This window comes from Homo sapiens, chromosome 9 (genome assembly GCF_000001405.40).
Source record: "Homo sapiens chromosome 9, GRCh38.p14 Primary Assembly".
In the NCBI taxonomy this organism is placed as follows: Eukaryota; Metazoa; Chordata; class Mammalia; order Primates; family Hominidae; genus Homo; species Homo sapiens.
The window spans coordinates 88015117-88034291 of record NC_000009.12 but is presented as its reverse complement, the minus strand read 5'-3'; the positions used below and the strand labels follow the sequence as shown (position 1 = coordinate 88034291).

The 19175-nt window shown below is 45.6% G+C and overlaps 1 pseudogene, besides 1 other annotated feature; it reads right to left on the bottom strand.

Moving 5' to 3' along the window:
* Window positions 7728-8493: an enhancer, noted in NCBI's record as "OCT4-NANOG-H3K4me1 hESC enhancer chr9:90640714-90641479 (GRCh37/hg19 assembly coordinates)". NCBI's record gives its function as "activates a minimal SCP1, AML or CMV promoter by ChIP-STARR-seq in naive H9 embryonic stem cells {active_cell/tissue: H9 hESC(naive)}" and the evidence as "EXISTENCE:reporter gene assay evidence [ECO:0000049][PMID:30033119]".
* Window positions 17444-18030, bottom strand: RPS10P3 (ribosomal protein S10 pseudogene 3; annotated as a pseudogene).

Sequence of the window (19175 nt, the reverse complement as noted above, 5' to 3'; positions counted from 1 at the left end):
CAGTCCTGAAATCTTGGTTGTATGGATCTTGAAGTGATCTTTCATGAGAACAACCCTGATCAACATTAAGGCCACACAGACAATCATCACACTGGGGTCACTGTCCAAACCAAACATAACTGTCTCAATCCCAATCTGCAAAATAGAAATGTATTAAAAACCTAAATCATGATGTGCTACATTTTCTTCTCCTTAAGCATAAAATGCACTGTTTCCTGTTATATTGAATATTTGATCAGATTCTGCTTAAAAAAAAGAAAATTTAAAAAGCTTTCTCAAGTCTAACAGAGCTTATAAAAATAAAAAGTAAAAATAAAAAGCCTTCATCAGACATTAGGGGCTGAGGTTTTCTGTTTGTAATTAAATGTGCCATTAACAAGAATAGAGAATACTTGAAAAAAAATTTTTTTTTTTTGAGACAGGGTCTCACTCTGTCGCCCAGCTGAAGTGCAGTGGTGTGATCTCGGCTCACTGCAGCCTCAACCTCCTGGGTTCAAGCCATCCTCCCACCTTAGCCTCCTGAGTAGCTGGGACTACAGAAGTGCACCACCATGCCTGGCTAATTTTTGTATTTTTTGTAGAGACGACATTTCACCATGTTGACCAAGCTGGTCTCAAACTCCTCAGCTCAATCTACCTGCTTCAGCCTCCCAAAGTGCTGGGATTATAGGCGTGAGCCACCATATCCAGCCAAGAATAGAGAATACTTAATCTCCATTTCTCTGTATAACATGCTGGCAAAATACTACATAATGCTCTTAGGCCCTTGGCCAACGAATACCTCAGTCAATCATCCAATTAACCTTGGTGGTTCGTTATTACCTGTCATAAACAATACAATACACCATTTCCTCTACCTCCCACATTTAAGGTTCTTTAAACATCAACAGTTCCATGTAGCTGAGTCCAACCCAGAATCAATGCAAGAGCATGTTCTTCAACCATTTTTAAGCATGGAGTTTTCCTTTCCTTTGAGTTCATAGTCCTCAGTAACTAGAGCTACTTAATATGTACATATGCAGGCAGGAAACCTGATGCAGAAGGGTCTTATAAATGCACTTATGAACCTGGGCAAGTTGCTGTGTCAAAATATGCACAGTCTAACCTCTGGCTGAGTTAGCTACAACCAATAAACAGTAGATCCATGCAATTTTTATTTGGGAGTTATCTTTATAAAATCACAGACAGAACTAAGAAGTCACGAATGTGAAAAGGCACAGGAAATGTAAATGAGTGAACAGAGCAAATCAGACAAGAAGGATGGAGGTAAGAGGGTAACAGGGAAACAGGGAGGTAAAGAGGGTAACAGGGAAATGAATGTGAGGATCAGACACTTTCTTCATCATTGAAATGGTCAGAACAGGGCTTTGGACCTAGGCAAAGCCTCCATGCCGGTGGTTCCCAAATTTCAGCATGAATCAGAATCCCCTGGAGGCAGAGCTGCCAGATACAATACAGAACCCCAGGCCGGGCGCGGTGACTCATGCCTGTAATCCCAGCACTCTGGGAGGCCGAGGTGGGTGGATCACGAGGTCAGGAGTTCAAGACTAGCCTGGCCAAGATAGTGAAACCCTGTCTCTACTAAAAATACAAAAATTAGCCGGACGTGGTGGCATGTGCCTGTAATCCCCGCTATTCGGGAGGCTGAGGCAGGAGAATCACTTGAACCTGGGAGGTGGAGGTTGCAGTGAGCCAAGATCACGCCACTGCACTTCAGCCTAGGCGAAAGAGAGAGACTCTGTCTAAAAAACAAACAAACAAACAAACAAAACAGTACCCCAGCTAAAGGTGAATTTCAGTTAAACAACAAATCATTTTAGTATTAAACATGTCCCATGCAATAATTGAGACATACTCATATTAAAAAATGATGTCACTTATCTAAAATGAAATGTAACTGTGTGTCTTGCATTTTTGCTCTACCTACACAGAGGTTCAAATACTGATTGCTGTGCCCACACCCAGAGTTCTTGATTCAGTGGATCTGGGATGGGGCCCAAGAATCTGCATTTTTTGAGACAGGATCTCAGCTCCGTTGCCCAGGTTGGAGTGCAGTGGCACAATCACGGCTCACTGCAGCCTCGATCTCCTGGGCTCAAGTGATCCTCCCGCCTCAGCCTCCCAAAATGTTGGGATTATAAGCATGGTCCATGGCACCTGGCCAAGAATCTGCATTTCTGATACTTTTCCAGCTGACGGCGATGCTGCTGTGTGAGGATGCCCTTTGAGAATCCCTGCTACAAAGCCCCTGCCAGTGGAGTGGCATTGCTGTGTGGTGGCCTTGCACTGCGGATTGCCCACCGGAGGGATGCTGTGTGAGCACTGGCTGTGTCACCCTGCCACTGTGTCTCTGCTTCCCTGGAAACATGCGTTTCTCCACTTTCAGGCAGAAGCACCAACTGCTCCTGTGAATTAATATGCTCATTTAATGCTCATTACATTTAAATTTTGTCATTGAAAGGGCTCATTTTCCCATACTGGACCGTGGCCCTCTCCCTGCTCACTTCTTTAGAATAAAGAAGAGCATGAGGCTGGTGAAGGGGACTGATGCATTATTGCACTGGCTCTGTCTGTGGTGACAGGCTCACAAAAATACTGTCACCATGGTATTTCTCAGCATTTGCTACATAGGAGGTTTTTCATACTTCAGGAAACATATTTACCATTTTAAAACCAAAGACATCAGGGTCCCATCAACATCTGTGATTTAGCTGTTACTAAACATTGTAAATCTATCAGTGTCTTGTTCCTTGGAAGTAGAACACCTACCACTGGACTCCCTTTACTCTAATTAACCAAAGGCACCCCACATGAGTGGTTAATAACTGGTTGGGCTTTGTCCCCTTCAGAGGGGACACACATGGTATAGTTGCCAAGTCCTGGACTCACTTTCTGACAAAAGCTTTTCCAAGATGCTCCTGGCTGGAAGCCGTGTGTGTCAGTTTGCTATGGCAGATAATACTCTGTCCTCTGGACACCCGAAATTCGTGTGTTGAAGTCCCAACCACCAGCGTCTCAGAATGTGACTGTATTTGGAGGCAGGGTCTTTAAAGAGATAACAGGCCAGGCGTGGTGGCTCCCACCTGTAATTGCAACACTTTGGGAGGCCAAGGCGGGCAGATCACCTGAGGTCAGGAGTTCGAAACCAGCCTGGCCAACATGGAGAAACCCTGCCTGTACTAAAACTACAAAAATTATCTGGGTGTGGTGGCGCATGCCTGTAGTCCCAGCTACTTAGGAGGCTGAGGCAGGAGAATTGCTTAAACCCGGGAGGGAGAGGTTGCAGTGAGCCACTACACTCCAGCCTGGGTGACACAGTGAGACTCTGTCTCAAAATAAATACATAAATTAATTAATTAATTAAAATAAAAAATAAAGAGGTAACTAAGGTTAACTGAGGTCCTTAAGGTGGAACCTAATCCAATATGACTGGTGTTCCTTATCAGAAGAGGAGATGAGGACACAGGGCAAGGACGCCCATCTGCAAAGCTAAGGAGAGAGGACTCAGGAAAGAACAACACCGCAGATGCCTTGATCTCAGACTTCCGGGCTCCAGAATTGTGGGAAAACAAATTTCTGTTGTTTAAGCTGTCCAGTCTGTGATACAGAAAGCCCTCACTTAACATTGTCAGTAAGTTCTTGGAAACTAACTTTAAGTGAAATGATGTATAACAAAATCAATTTTCTAATCAATAGGCTAATTGATATAAACAAGAGTTAAGTTCCTACAGCACGCTTCTCCCTTTGCAGGGCGCACTCACACACATGCCCACCCTCACTCACCTTGGGACCACGTAGACACATCAGTTCACCTAATGGGCACAATCATGGGATCAAGGAGGAAACGAGAGCACCCAGAAAAAACCCACACAGACATGGGGAGAACATGCAGACAGACTCCAACACAGGTAGTGGCCCCAGGTGAGGATTATTCTTTTCTCATCGACCTTATAATAAAGACCTGTTGAGGCCAGGGGAGGTGGCTCATGGATATAATCCTAGCACTTTGGGAGGCTGAGGCAGTAGGATCGCTTCAGCACAGGAGTTTGAGACCAGACTGGGCAACACAGGAAGACTCCAGTCTCTACAAAAAATATTTTTTAAAAATTAGCCAGAAATAGTGGCAGGGGCCTGTTGTCCCAGCTGCTTGGGAGGCTGAGACGGAGGAAGATCACTTGAGCCATGATTGTGCCACTGCACTTCAGTCTGGGCAACAGAGCAAGACCCTGTCTCAAAATAAATAAAAACAAAATGACCTTATTCTAGGACCTGCTGTACTTTGTTACAATAGCCCAAGCAAACTGAGACACCATGTAAATGCCAGTTTTCCTTTACAATAAAGACAATAGTGCACGTACCCCAGATGTGACAACTGTAGGATTCCATTTGAAAGAGCAGGCAGGCTGGGTATGGTGGCTCATGCCTGTAATCCCAGCACTTTGGGAGGCCGAGGTGGGCAGATCATGAGGTCAGGAGTTCAAGACCAGCCTGGCCAACATGGTGAAACCCCATCTCTATTAAAAATACAAAAATTAGCTGGGCGTGGTGGCGGGCACCTGTAGTCTCAGCTACTCAGTAGGCTGAGGCAGGAGAATAGCTGGAATCTGGGAGGCAGAGGTTGCAGTGAGCCGAGATGGTGCCACTGCACTCCAGCCTGGGTGACAGAGCAACTCTGCTCAAAGAAAAAAACGAAAGAAAGAAAGAGCAGGCAATTTTCACCTTACAGTAACCTATGATTGAGGATCTCAGTTGCCCCTCTCAATAGGTTTTCCTGTTTTATCCTTCAGTTCTTCTCTGCCCCTGGCTGGAGACCAGACATAAGCACAAATCTGAAGGTTGAGCCCTGGGGTGGAGGACAGGAACCATTTTCTCACTACCACCACCCTCTGTGAGCTACCACTTGCTTCTGCCAAGAATCATCCTTACAATGAGCTCCTTCCTTACTCATTATTTTTCTTCTTCCTTGCAACACGCAGAATTTATCTCTCCTCATCTTGATGTTGATGAAAGGCAATATTCTTTGCTAATTTAAAGTGTGATGAAACATACAGAAGAAAACAAGATTTCTGATAAACACTTTTTGCTAATTAAGTATTTGGAAATCTGCTTGTACCAAAATAATATGACATTCCTCCCTGTGCCCTCCCTGTGCCTTTTATTTCCTCTAATAGAATTGTTTTCCTCCACACAGAGGTTCTCTTTTTTTTTTTTTTTTTCAGATGGAGTCTCACTCTGTTGCCAGGCTGGAGTGCAGTGGTGCTATCTCGGCTCACTGCAACCTCCGCCTCCTGGGTTCAAGCGATTCTCTTGCCTCAGCCTCCCGAGTAGCTGGGATTACAGGCACCCGCCACCGTGCCCAGCTAATTTTTTATTTTTAGTAGAGACAGTGTTTCACCATGTTGGCCGGGATGGTCCCGATCTCTTGATCTCGTGATCTGCCTGCCTCGGCCTCCCAAAGTGCTGGGATTCCAGGCAAGAGCCACTGCTTCCGGCCAACAGAGGTGCATTCTAGATCTTTAATTTCTCCACCTCACTTGGAAGATTGCTAGAAATCACAAATAAAGTTTGTAATGTAGTTATATAGCTTTCACTGAACATTTTAAATACTTGAACAAAAAATTCATGACGATTACACATAACCAAGCCCATCCCAAACTTTTTGAAGACTTCATATGTCAATCCCCCGATAGTTAATAAATACTGTATTTTTTCATGACTCCCACTCTTAATCATCATACTGACTCATACCACTCAAAACTGCAGTTTAATTATATTAGTTTTCTCTAATATAAAATTAGTTACATATTTAATTAACTTCCTTTCTCCCAAAATAGCAACCATCCTCTTTGATTAACCTGGCTGAGTCATGCAAAACCTTATGCTTATCTTGCTGTCAATTACAAGCATATTTTAGTTTTAAGCAGAAATAGCTTACATTGTACCATGCAAAAATTACGGTGTTAGGGCCGAGCGCTGTGGTTCATGCCTGTAATCCCAGCACTTTGGGAGGCCGAGGTGGGTGGATCACCTGAGGTAAGGAGTTCAAGACCAGCCTGGTCAACATGGTGAAACCCTGACTCTACTAAAATACAAAAATTAGCCGGGCATGATGGCGGGTGCCTGTATTCCCAGCTACTTGAGAGGCTGAGACGGGAGAATCTCTTGAACCTGGGAGATGTTGGTTGCGGCGAGCTGAGATCACGCCACCGCACTCCAGCCTGGGCAGCTGAGTGAGACTCCATCTCAAAAAAAAAAAAGAAAAAGAAAATTACGGAGTTAGGAGGAAGGATGGCATATGGTTAGGAAACTAATTTCACAAGTAAATGGATCCTCTATTGACTTTGACAGACAAAATGTAAGAACAAGAATGCAAAAGTAAGACCTTTTTTTTTTTTTTGAGATGGAGTTTCGCTCTTGTTGCCCAGGCTGGAGTGCAATGGCAAGATCTCGGCTCACTGCAACCTCCTCCTCCTGGGTTCAAGTGATTCTCCTGCCTCAGCCTCCTGAGTAGCTGGGATTACAAGGCATGTGCCACCACACCGGCTAATTTTGTATTTTTAGTAGAGACTGGTCTCAAACTCCCACCGTCAGGTGATCCACCCGCTTTGGCCTCCCAAAGTGCTGGAATTACAGGCATGAGCCACTGTGCTTGGCAGTAAGACTCTTATATTCCTAGACTTTTTTTGTATGTATGAATCACTTTGGTACCAAAAGGTCCTTTATTTGATAAAGACAGTTCATGACTGCTTTATTCATTACCAGTTTATTTCATTTAAAATTTTATTACTTTTGGAATCTGGATGTCACAGACAAGGTTGGGTGATAACAATTTAAGGTTAGAGTCCTCCTGCAAGGACAAGGATGTCAATAAGAGGTGAGGAGGGTTCCAGGCACATTGCTGCCCACATAAAAGAGCAAGCTAGGACCCAGGCGCGGTGGCTCACACCTGTAATCCCAGCACTTTGGGAGGCCGAGGCAGGTGGACCATGAGGTCAGGAGATCGAGACCATCCTGGCTAACACAGTGAAACCCCATCTCTACAACAAAATACAAAAAAAAAAAACAAATGAGCCAGGCGTGGTGGTGGGCACCTGTAGTCCCAGCTACTCGAGAGGCTGAGGCAGGAGAATCTGTTGAACCTGGGAGGCAGAGGTTGCACTGAGCCGAGACTGTGCCACTGCACTCCGGCCTGGGCAATAGAGCGAGACTCCGTCTCAAAAAAATAAATAAATAAAAATAAGAATACCAGCTTTTTAAAGGAAAAATCATTTAGGACCAAGGTCTAAAAGCAATTCTTTGGGAGTGTGTGTCCTAACAGAGCAGACCCTGAGTACTGAAACTAACAGATTATTCCGTGTGATGGCTGCATGGTGCCTCTCAAATGTCATATGTTGAAATGCTAACCCCAAGAACCTCAGAAGGTGACTATATTTGGAGGAGGGGCCTTTACAGAGGTAATCAATTAAAAATGATGTCATATGGATGTGTGGGCCCTAATCCAATCTGACTGGGTCCCATAAGAAAAGGCTTGGGTGCAGCGGCTCACACCTGTAATCCCAGCACTTTGAGAGGCCGAGGCAGGAGGATCGCCCGAGGTCGAGAGTTCGAGACCAGCCTGACCAACATGGAGAAACCCTGTCTCTACTAAAAATACAAAATTGGCCAGGCGTGGTTGCGCATGCCTGTAATCCCAGCTACTCAGGAGGCTGAGGCAGAAGAATCGCTTGAATCCAGGAGGCGGAGGTTGCAGTGAACCGAGATTGCGCCATTGCATTCCAGCCTGTGAAACAAGAGCGAAACTCTGTCTCAAAAAAAAAAAAAAAAAAAAGAGATGAGGACATAGACACACACAGTGGGGACACAGGGAGAATACAGCCTCAGCCTTCTGCAAGCCAAGGAGAGAGGACTCAGGAGGAATCAACTCTGCCCACACCTTGATTTTGGACTTCCAACCTCTAGAACGGGAGAGAATAAATATCTGTTCTTTAAGCCCCCCACTGTGGCACTTTGTTATGGAAGCCCTAGCAAATTAACACATGCATGCAACAATATTCCTCAACAAATGCAAAAGTAGCTTTAAATGGGAATTTGTTAATCCCATCCTCAGAGTACTGTAAGGTCAAAATGTCTACATTTAAATTGCTGAATGCAATTTTCAAGGAGGGACATCACTTTCAAACAAGTGAGATTTGCAAATTCCTCTGCCCATTGCATGCTTCTCAAGATCAGAGTTAGGAAAGAGAAAGGGGTGCCCCCTCTTCGTGGCACACACAAATGACCCTAGGAATGATGCTAAGCAAACAGGCCCTCCCCATGGGGAAGCCCTTGCTGCTGACTCTGTGTCACGAGCAGCAGTGCCACAGAACCAGACTCTGGCCATGCCGCTTTACAGCGGCGGGTCTTCCCTGTGCATTGACACATTCATCCCAAGTGAAATGGCTTATGGAGAAACAGCTCTTCCCTGGGTGCTAACTTCTATGGGGCAACTAATTAGTGCTATGGCTTAGGATAATAAAGAGATACAAAAAATATTTGAGTTGGGAAATGTGACCATGACATATCAAGGCTAAAGACAATAGCTGCATCCTGGAGGGCCAGGGCCTTTGCCAAGCATCAAAAGGACTGGTCTACTGCAGGAGCTCGACTCCTGCCCTTCAGAACCCAGGGTCTCCACCCCTTCCCAGTTCCCTCCCCAAGCTGCCAGAGTGCCACCTGCTGGGGGCCTCAGAGGAATTGCCCTCTGCCCCCAGGAACTGCCCTCTGCCAAGTTTTGTCCCTTTCCTGGGAGCAGCCTGGATCTGATGGTTGCATGTGCCGCAAAGCCAGGAATTCAGAGGGGCCAATCTCACCCAGAGTCCATTCCAGACAGCCAGCTACGGAGAAGGCATATTTCCTTGGGGTGGCACTGGATTGAAAGTCCTTCAAAAATGCTACATGAGAAGTGCCATGTGGTGTTAAACAAGACTCTAGGATTTCAGGGCAGCAGGTAGTGAGCAAGAGCCCCAGCCTGCCCCCTCCTCCTACTGCCCTTGCTTTCATGGAGAACATTTGCGTTCTTCTTTGGAAGTAAAGAAAGTAATGCATAATAACTTTCTTTGACAAGTATGTCTTTCTGCCGTGAGCTAACAGGCACTGGACTGAGACGCAGGAAAGCCTGCAGTGAATCCTAACAGTTCACTTCCCTCTTACAATGTGAATTCATTCAAATTAGACCTTCGAGTGAAAGCCTCTTAATTAGATGATTTCCTAAGTCCCCATTGATGTCTCCTTTCCCATACAAAGGCATCTACAAATGACTGCATGTTTAGTCCTGAAGTAGTGGCTTTGAGAAACAGGCTTCAGAGGGAAGTGAAATATAACCAGGTTAGCAGGCCATGCATCAGCTATTGACTGAATGAGTGCCAGGAAGTCACCTGAGGAGATATCATCAAACTACTGCTCCTCTTGCAGCCTATCATGCAGATAATAGTAGAAAAAAGTTGCAGGATCTGGAGTCATTTTCAAATAGTTATCAATGATCACCATCATGTGATCCACAAGCAGGTCCCTTCATCGTCCCTAGAACATATCTTATCTTTTATTATCACTTGTGGATTTTGCATGAATTTGCATGAAGTCTCTCCCATTACCCCTCAAACCTAGTAAAAAGTTTCCAAAGCCCTTTCTAAGCACTGCAAGTCAAAACAACTTTGACTTGGCCAGGAGCGGTGGATGACGCCTGTAATCCCAGCACTTTGGGAGGCCGAGGCGGGAGGATCACCTGTGGTCAGGAGTTCGAAACCAGCCTGGCCAACATGGTGAAACCCTGTCTCTACTAAAAATACAAAAATTAGCTGGGCATGGTGGTGTTTGCCCATAATCCCAGCTACTTGGGAGGCTGAGGCAGGAGAATAGCTTGAACCCAGGAGGCGGAGGTTTTTAGAGAGCTGAGATCATGCCATTGCACTCCAGCCTGGGCAACAAGAGCAAAATTCCATCTCAAAAAAAAAAAAGACAAACTCTGGCAACCTGTATTATATGGTACCTGTGTTATCTATGGGCTTTGAAACTCATCGGCTATTATGTATGGTCCTGTCTTTCCATGTTCTTTGCCTACATCTCTACTGAGCATCTTTCTATGGTTCAGGGATATTACATATTTCCTCCTCTGCAGTTATAAAGGTGTATTTCGTGGAAGAGCTATGCAGTAAATCCTAATTAATGCACTTAAAGAATTTTTTAGGCCAGGTGCAGTGGCTCACATCTGTAATCCAAGCACACTGGGAGGCCGAGGCAGGCAAATCACCTGAGGTCAGGAGTTCGAGACCAGCCTGGCCATCATGGTGAAATTGTCTCTACTAGAAATACAAAAATTAGCCGGGCATGGTGGCTGTGCCTGTAATCCCAGCTACTTGGGAGGCTGAGGCAGGAGAATCACTTGAACCCAGGAGGCAGAGGTTGCAGTGAGCTGAGATCGCGCCATTGCACTCCAGCTCAGGCAACACTCCGTCTCAAAAAAAGGAAAAAGAAAGAGAGAGAGAATTTTTAATCAAACAATCTGGCTTATTATTTTTGAATATATTACTTAAGTCTTCCTTCAGGACCCAGACAAAATTCCCATAGGATGCCCATACATACACCCCATCCCTGTCCCCCCACCACCACCAACAGCCAGCTTCTCCCCTTCCGGGCACACACAATGCACAGGTCATATTCTGCCCATAGTCCTTTGGCTTCATTTTCTCACATGCATATCAAGACCAGAACCAACCGCTTGTTAAAGGATTTCAAGGTGTTTAGCATATGCATGAGGAAGAAACACCCAGGGCCTGGAAGGTGACTAGATTACCCATTTTCTTCTTACCTGTTTATTGAGTAATGGGCGGTGACTGCTTTCAGCCTGTAAGTAGGAAGTAGACTGATGCAAGATGACTCTTGAAAAAAAAATAACTTTAAAAATGTATTTAAATTGCCCCTAGATCGCTTTACTTAATGTGTGTATTAGCCCATTTTGCATTGCTAATGGAATTCTTCAGACTGGACAATTTCTAAAGAAAAGAGATTTCTGGGCTCACAGTTCTGCAGGCCGTGTAAGCATGGTACCCGCATCTGCTCAGCCTCTGGGGAGGCCTCAGGACATTTTCACTCATGGCGGAAGATGAGCAGGGAGCAAGTGTGTCACATGACAAGAGAGGAAGCAAAAGAGATGCCAGGCTTTTTTAAACAGCCAGCTCTTGCATGAATTAATAGAGCAAGAATTGACCCATTACCACAGGGAGGTCACCAAGCCCTTCCAGAGGGATCCGCTCCCGTGACACCTCCCACCACGCCCCACCTCCAACTTTGAGGATTATATTTTAATGTGAGATTTGGAGGGGTCAATGTCCAAACCATGTCACTCTGACTGTAAGTTGAGCTCAGAACCAAGTATATTCTTTCTTTTATTCGCTTTCCACTGCTTCCATTTTGTTACAAAACAGCCCTTAGAGAATATCAAATTGGCGGGGCACGGTGGCTCATGCCTGTAATCTCAACACTTTGGGAGGCCGAGGTGGGTGGATTACCTGAGGCCAGGAGTTCAAGACTAGCCTGGCCAACATGGTGAAACCCCGTCTCTACTAAAAATACAAAAAATGAGCCGGGCGTGGTGACACGCGCCTATAGTCCCAGCTACTCGGGAGGCTGAGGCAGGAGAATCGCTTGAACCTGGGAGGCGGAGGTTGCAGTGAGCCCAGATCGTGCCACTGCACTCCAGCCTGGCGACAGAGCAAGACTCCGTCTCAAAAAAAAAAAAAGTATATATATATATGTGTGTGTATATATATATATATATATATATACACACACACACATATATATGCGCTATCAGTCTTTAGGTACAAAAGTGAGACTTCCAAATTTAAAGGCAGATCTTTAAAAAAATCAGATCTGGGAGAGAACTAGAGAAAACAATTGGGGTAACTCCCAACTGTACAAACATACATCTATTGTTTCTCTTGCTGGTCTTACAAAGGTGGGTCAGGTAAAACCAGAGGTGTTGATGTGGCAGGACTGACCACCGAGTTATTTGTGGTGAAGGAAATTGAAGCAATAAGAGGAAAGGAAAACTACTGATTTTTCCCTAAAACTAGACTCTTTTAAAAATGGAAACTCATTTCTTTGAAGAAGCGGCAGGATTTTTTATTCTGCTCTAGCTCTGTGGGGTGCCTGGTTGAAGAGCCGCGCACATTGACTTGAGGGTTCGGTCTTGAAGGAGCGGTAAAGGGCCGCTCATTGTGGAGGAGACGGGGCAACCGTCAGGAAACTTGGCTGCAGGTGAACAGTGCCCCTGAGAACCGTGAGAAGTTCCCCCAGATGCCCGGCTAAAAGACAATGAGCTGGATTCAGAATAAACAAGTTAGTTCACACAAAACTGTAAGTTCCTTGCCCGAAGGATTAATTGTCAAAGAGAAATGAGAGGCTCTCTCTTCCCAGAAAGCTTTAAAATGGAGACCCAAGAATATGGCGGCAACCGTGGCAGCAGCTTGGTTTTTGGATCTTATAACATCTTTTAAAGAGAGAGAGAGAGAAGGCCAGGCGCAGTGGCTCACGCCTGTAATCCCAGCACTTTGGCAGGCCGAGGTGGGCGGATCACAAGGTCAGGTGATTGAGACCATCCTGGCCAACATGGTGAAACCCCGTCTCTACTAAAAATACAAAAATTAGCTGGGCGTAGTGGCGGGCACCTGCAGTCCCAGCTACTCGGGAGGCTGAGGCAGGAGAATCTCTTGAACCCGGGAGGCAGTGGTTGCAGTGAGCCGAGATTGCGCCACTGCACTCCAGCCTGGCCACACAGCTAGACTCCGCCTCATTAAAAAAAAAAAAAAAAAAAAAAAAAAGTGGGAGCTGAAAATTGGGTACTCATGGACAGTAAGATGGCAACAATAGAAACTGGGCACTGCGACTCTATGGCCGGGTGCAGTGGCTCATGCCTGTAAACCCAGCACTTTGGGAGGACGAGGCAGGAGGATTGCCTGAGTTCAGGAGTTCGAGACCAGCCTGGGCAACATGGCGAAACCCCATCTCTACTAAAATACAAAAAATTAGCAAGGAATGGCGGTGTGCCCCTGTGGTCCCAGCTACTTGGGAGGCTGAGGCAGGAGAATTGCTTGAACCCAGAGGCGGAGGTTGCAGTGAGCCAAGATCGTGCCACTGCACTCCAGCCTGGGCGACAGAGTGAGACAAAAAGAAAGAAAGAAAGAGAGAAAGAGAGAAGGAGAGAGAGAAGAAGGAAGGAAGGAAAAGAGGAAGAAGAAGGAAGGACGGAAGGAAGGCACGCACTACTAGAGAGGGGAGAGAGGGGGTGGGGGTTGAAAAATTCACTATTGGGTACTGTGCTCAGTACCTGGGTGATAGGATCAATCGTACCCCAAACCTCAGCATCACACAATATACCCAGGTAACAAACCTGCACAGGTACTCCCTGAATCTAAAATAAAAGATTCTTTAAAATAAAAAATAAAATGTCAAGTATGATTTGACAGTGTATCTACTACAAACTTCACAATGGAAATATGACAAACTTAGATATCCTAGAAAATCCTGGGGGATCCATTCTTCTTTACTTTGCTGGTCAGAATGAGAGCTAATGGGGTCAAGTGGTTTCAGGGGCCAAGGGAAAATTTCCCCTTTGCCCTCTGAAGATTTGCTAAAAAATCAACTCACAAAAGGCAGATTAATTGGAGAGAAGGCACAGAAGTTTATTGGTGTGCACAGGGGAGAACCACAGAGTGATTGCCCAGTATCTCAATGGGGTGCAAATGCTTTTACACCTTACTGCTTAAGAGAAAGGGAGATGGAAAAGTGTGGATGATTTTAGGGGAATAGTAAATGACTTTCAGTGGATATTTAAAACATACAATGGTAGCCAGGCACGGTGGCATGCTCCTGTAATCCCTGCTACTCAGGATGCTGAGGCAGGAGAATCACTTGAAGCTGGGAGGTAGAGGTTGCAGTGAGCTGAGATCACACCACTGCATGCCAGCCTGGGCGACAGAGTGAGACTCCATCTTAAAAAAAAAAAAGAAAAGAAAGAAAGAAAACAGATATTCCCATTACTATTGGTGCATCACAGACCATCCCCAAATTTAGTGCTGCAGCTTTGCCACCATCATTTACTATACACACAAATCCTATGGCTCAAGAATTTAAACTGAGCAGACCAGGGATGGCTTGTCTCTGTTCCACAGTGTCTAGGGCCTCAGCTAGGACAACTCAATGGCTGGGGCTGGATCATCGGGAGTCATCTTCATTCACATATTAAGAATCAATAAGGCCGGGCGTGGTGGCTCATCACTGTAATCCCAGCCCTTTGGGAGGCCGAGGTGGGCAGATCACCTGAGGTCAGGAGTTCGAGACCAGCCTGACCAACATGACGAAACCCTGTTTCTACTAAAAATACAAAAATTAGCCGGGCATGGTGGTGGGCTCCTGTAATCCCAGCTACTCGGGAGGCTGAGGCAGGGAGAATTGCTTGAACCTGGGAGGCAGAGGTTGCAGTGAACCGAGGTTTCGCCGTTGCTCTCCAGCCTGGGTGACAAAGGGAGACTCTGTCTCAAAAAAAAATAGAATTGATAGTTGGGCAAGGTGGTTCATGCCTATAATCCCAGCACTTTGGGAGGCCAAGGCAGGAGGATCGCTTAAGCCCAGGAGTTTGACACCAGCCTGAGCAACATGGCAAGACCTCATCTCTATTTATTTAAAAAAGAAAAAAAAAAAAAAAGAGGCCAGGCACGGTGGCTCACACCTGTAATCCCAGCACTTTGGGAGGCCAAGGTAGGTGGATCACCTGAGGTCAGGAGTTCGAGACCAGCCTGGCCAACATGGTGAAACCCCATCTCTACTAAAAATACAAAAATTAGCCGGGCATGGTGGTGGGCGCCTGTAATCCCAGCTACTCGGGAGCCTGAGGTGGTAGGAGAATTGCTTGAACCAGGAGGCGGAGGTTGCAGTGAGCTGAGACCGCACCACTGCACTCCATCCCGGGCAACAGAGCAAGACTCTGTCTCAAAAATAAATAAATAAATAATAATAAAATAAAATAAATTTAATTTAATTAAAAAAAATGATAATCCCTGTTGACCAGGGCATCACTGGACTTTTGGCTGAAACAACTACACATAGCCCCACTATGTGGTATCTCTGCATGGACTAGTTTGGGCTTCTTCATGACATAGCTTCCCAAGAAAACCAGGTGGAAATGACCTTCTTTTATGACCTCATTTTAGAAGTTGCAGAGAATCAACTTCATCCTAGTCAAAAACCCATGCAAATCTAAGAGGAGAAAACAGAGACTCTACTTTTCAAGTGTCAAAATTATTGCAAGAAGAGGGTATAGAGTTAGAGATATTGTGGTAGCCAACATTGGAAAAATCTAATACTCCCTTAACAGGAAACGAGAAAACAGCAATCAACTTTGAAAGCTGGAAAAATAAAGAAAACTAATGATTAATTTTGCAAACCTAAGAAAGATGATTTTTTAAATTTATTTATTTATTTATTTATTTTTTAGACAGAGTCTCAGTCTGTTGCCCAGGCTTGGAGTGCAATGGCACAATCTCAGCTCACTGCAACCTCCACCTCCCAGGTTCAAGCAACTCTCTTGCCTCAGCCTCCCAAGTAGCTGGAATTACAGGTGTGTGCCACCACACCTGGCTAATTTTCGTATTTTTAGTAGAGACGGGGGTTTTGCCATGTTGGCCAGACTGGTCTCGAACTCCTGACATTAGGTAATCTGCACACCTTGGCCTCCCAAAGTGCTGGAATTACAGGTGTGAGACACCACACCTAGCCTAAGAAAGATAATTCTAGGCCAGAAGCGAGTTCAGCTGAGAATCAAGATGTTTAAGAAGCAGTTGGATCCCTCGATCCCATTCCCCACCCCACAGGGCTGGGTAACATTCAGCAGAACGCTGGAGGTCTATTTTCTTGAGAGGACCTTTGGGCTGAGAGTTGACCACAACAGTTGAGCTTAAGGGCACATTCCTCAAAAAGGGACGCAATTACATTGATGCAAACTGATTGCTGACAGCCCCAGCCCTCTTGGCTCACAGAATGCTAAAACCACATAAGAACCCTTCAAACAGGAAATTGGAAGACTACTTTCTGGAGAATCTGAACAGTACATGAGGAAAAAGCAAGTAATATTGATACACGTATTGGGTTCCCTAATAGCATACACACAGACCTCACGGTGAATTGCAAGGTAAACAAGCCACACCTACTTACAAGACTTCCAATAAGTTGTTCAGTTCCATATTTCTAACTGCAAGCCAGGCTGGGTGCAATGGTTCACGCCTGTAATCTCAGCACTTTGAGAGGCCGAGGCAGGCAGATTGCTTGAGCCTAGGTGTTGGAGCCCAGCCTGGGCAACATAGCCAGACCCTGTCTCTACAAAAAAACTCATAACACTAGCCAGGAGTGGTGGCAAATGCCTGTACTCCCAGCTACTTGGGAGGCTGAGGGAGGAGGATCACTTAAGCCCAAGAAACCATGGAGGCTACAATAAGCTTTGGTTGCACCATTGCACTCCAGACTGACCAACAGAGTGAGACCCTATCCCCCAAAAAAGAAAAAACCCTGAGCAGACAACCAAGATTTACCAGACAAAGCCTCTAAAATGGAAGATATGGGCCAAAACAAGCAGAGACAGAAGCAAGTTGGAGGAACAAAACTATGGAAATGTATTATCATGTTCACATATTTAGAATTTCTTTGATGATATTACACATCTATCTATGCCTATTTAGAGTATGCATATGAATATATAACTATGAAAAACAAAGAGGTTGCTGTTAAAAAGAGCATTCAGAACAGAGGAAAAACAAAAGGTGAGTAATTAAAAACTTAGTAGAATAGTTGGAAGAGCAAGTTGGGGAAATCTCTCAGAAGGTGGAGCAAAAGTACAGAGATGAAAATGAAAATGTTAAAATCAGAGATTAAGTTCATGGATTCCAATGTTATGACAGGATTTCCAGAAGAGAGAATGGGAGGAGGAGGAGTGTTGGGAAAGAGGGAAGGAAATTAAATGTTGGACTGGCAAGATTCTTTCGTTTTTGTTCAACTGATAGCAACAACTATTCTTATTAGTGGTATTGGCCAAACTCTCCTAAAGTCATTCTTTTATTTATTTATTTATTTTTTTGAGATGGAGTCTCGCTCCGTCACCCAGGCTGGAGTGCAGTGGTGCAATCTCGGCTCACTGCAACCTCTGCCTCCCGGGTTCAAGGGATGCTTCTGCCTCAGCCTCCTGAGTAGCTGGGATTACAGGCGCATGCCAGCATGCCCAGCTAATTTTTGTATTTTTAGTAGAGATGGGGATTTCACCATGTTGGTCAGGCTGGTCTCGAACTCCTGACCTCGTGATCTGCCCGCCTCGGCCTCCCAAAGTGCTGGGATTACAGGTTTGTTTGTTTGTTTGTTTGTTTTAAGGATTTTTGGCTGTAAGTTTATTCAATGCAAAAGAATCCTCTCCAATTTTACTGAGGTGGCTGACCACGTCCATGACCAAATCCGCCTCTAAACTGGAATTCGGTTGCTGACCCAGCCCCAGCCTCAGCTTTCTTGCCGGCACCAGGTGGCACAGCACTCATCTGTGGGTATCTCTGTCAGCTTCCCCTCTTGCGAGTCTCGTAGGTCGCTCAATCTCCAGACCTTTAGGCCGAGGCCTGCCAGTCTCTGGACGGCTACGGCATAGGGTGGCAGGCACAATCTCTGGGGGCAGATGAAGGTAATCACGGAGATACTGGATACCCTCATTGGTAAGATACCAGTAGAAATGTCTCCAGGCAAACTGTTCCTTCACATAGCCTCGGGACTTGAGAAACTGCATGGCCTTCATGACATGAAGGTTGGGCACATTCTTGTCTGCCAGCTCCGGGTGCTTAGGCATGTGGACATCCTTCTTGGCCACCATGACTCCCTCCTTAAAAAGGAGTTCATAAATGGCAATCCGGTTCTTCTTAGGCATCAACATCTCTGCAGCTGCAAGGGCCGGGCTGGGGCTGGGAAAGGGGATTACAGGTTTGAGCCACCACACCCGGCCCCAAATTCATTCTCAAGTAAAATCGGGGGTAGGGGCTGGGTCATCCAATGCTGTGCAATGAACTCTGCTCTGTTGAGACTCACTACAGAGGTTGGGCATGGTGGCTCACATCTGTAATCTCAGCACTTTGGGAGGCTGAGGCAGGCGGATCACAAAGTTAGGAGTTCGAGACCAACCTGACCAACGTGGTGAAACCCTGTCTCTACTAAAAATACAAAAATTAGCCAGGCGTGGTGGAGCTCGCCTGTAATCCCAGCTACTCAGGAGGCTGAGGCAGGAGAATCGCTTGAACCCGGGAGGCAGAGAATGCAGTAAGCCAAAATTGCACCACTGTACTCCAGCCTGGATGACAGAGTGAGACTTCGTCTAAAAAAAGAAGAATTAGATTGGCATGGTAGGTGCCTGTGGTCCCAGCTATTCAGGAAGTTGAAGTGGGAGGATCACTTGAGCCCAGAAAGTCAAAGCTGCAGTGAGCTGTGATTGCACCACTGCTCTCCAGCCCAGGAAACAGTGAAACCCCGTCTCTAAATACATGAATAAATAAATAAGTTTTTAAAAATAAAAATAAAAATGATTTGCTTTAAAAAAAAATCTACCTGGTATCATTTGGTTTCTAGATCCAGTTGAAGAGACCACTGAGAGCTAAAAGTGGGGCTGGAGGTGATCTCTGGCTCCCCTAACATTCTTGATCAAAAATCACACAGTGCCTTAACCACTCTGTGATGCAGTCAGCTACAGGTTTTTCCCTGCAGGCTTGACCCAAAGCTGGGCCTCAGCATTGATAAAGATACCTAGGTTGTTTGCCAAAAACACAGAAAGAAACTGGCCCTGACCCTCAGCTAAATTCCTTCAACCCTGACATCTATAAACCCTGGTCCCCCTACTGCAGACATACCTAGGGAGAAGATGCTTGTCTCTCGCTGTCCCTCGAGTGGGTTGCTGCAGCCTCTGTATGTAGGTTCCCTAATAAATGCTCTGGATTCATCACCCTGGTGTTACTGGTGTTAGTGCTTTTTTTTTTTTTTTTTTTTTTTTTTTTTTTTTAAGACTTAGTTTCACTCTTGTCCCCAGGCTGGAGTGCAATGGCACGATCTCAGCTCACTGCAACCTCCGC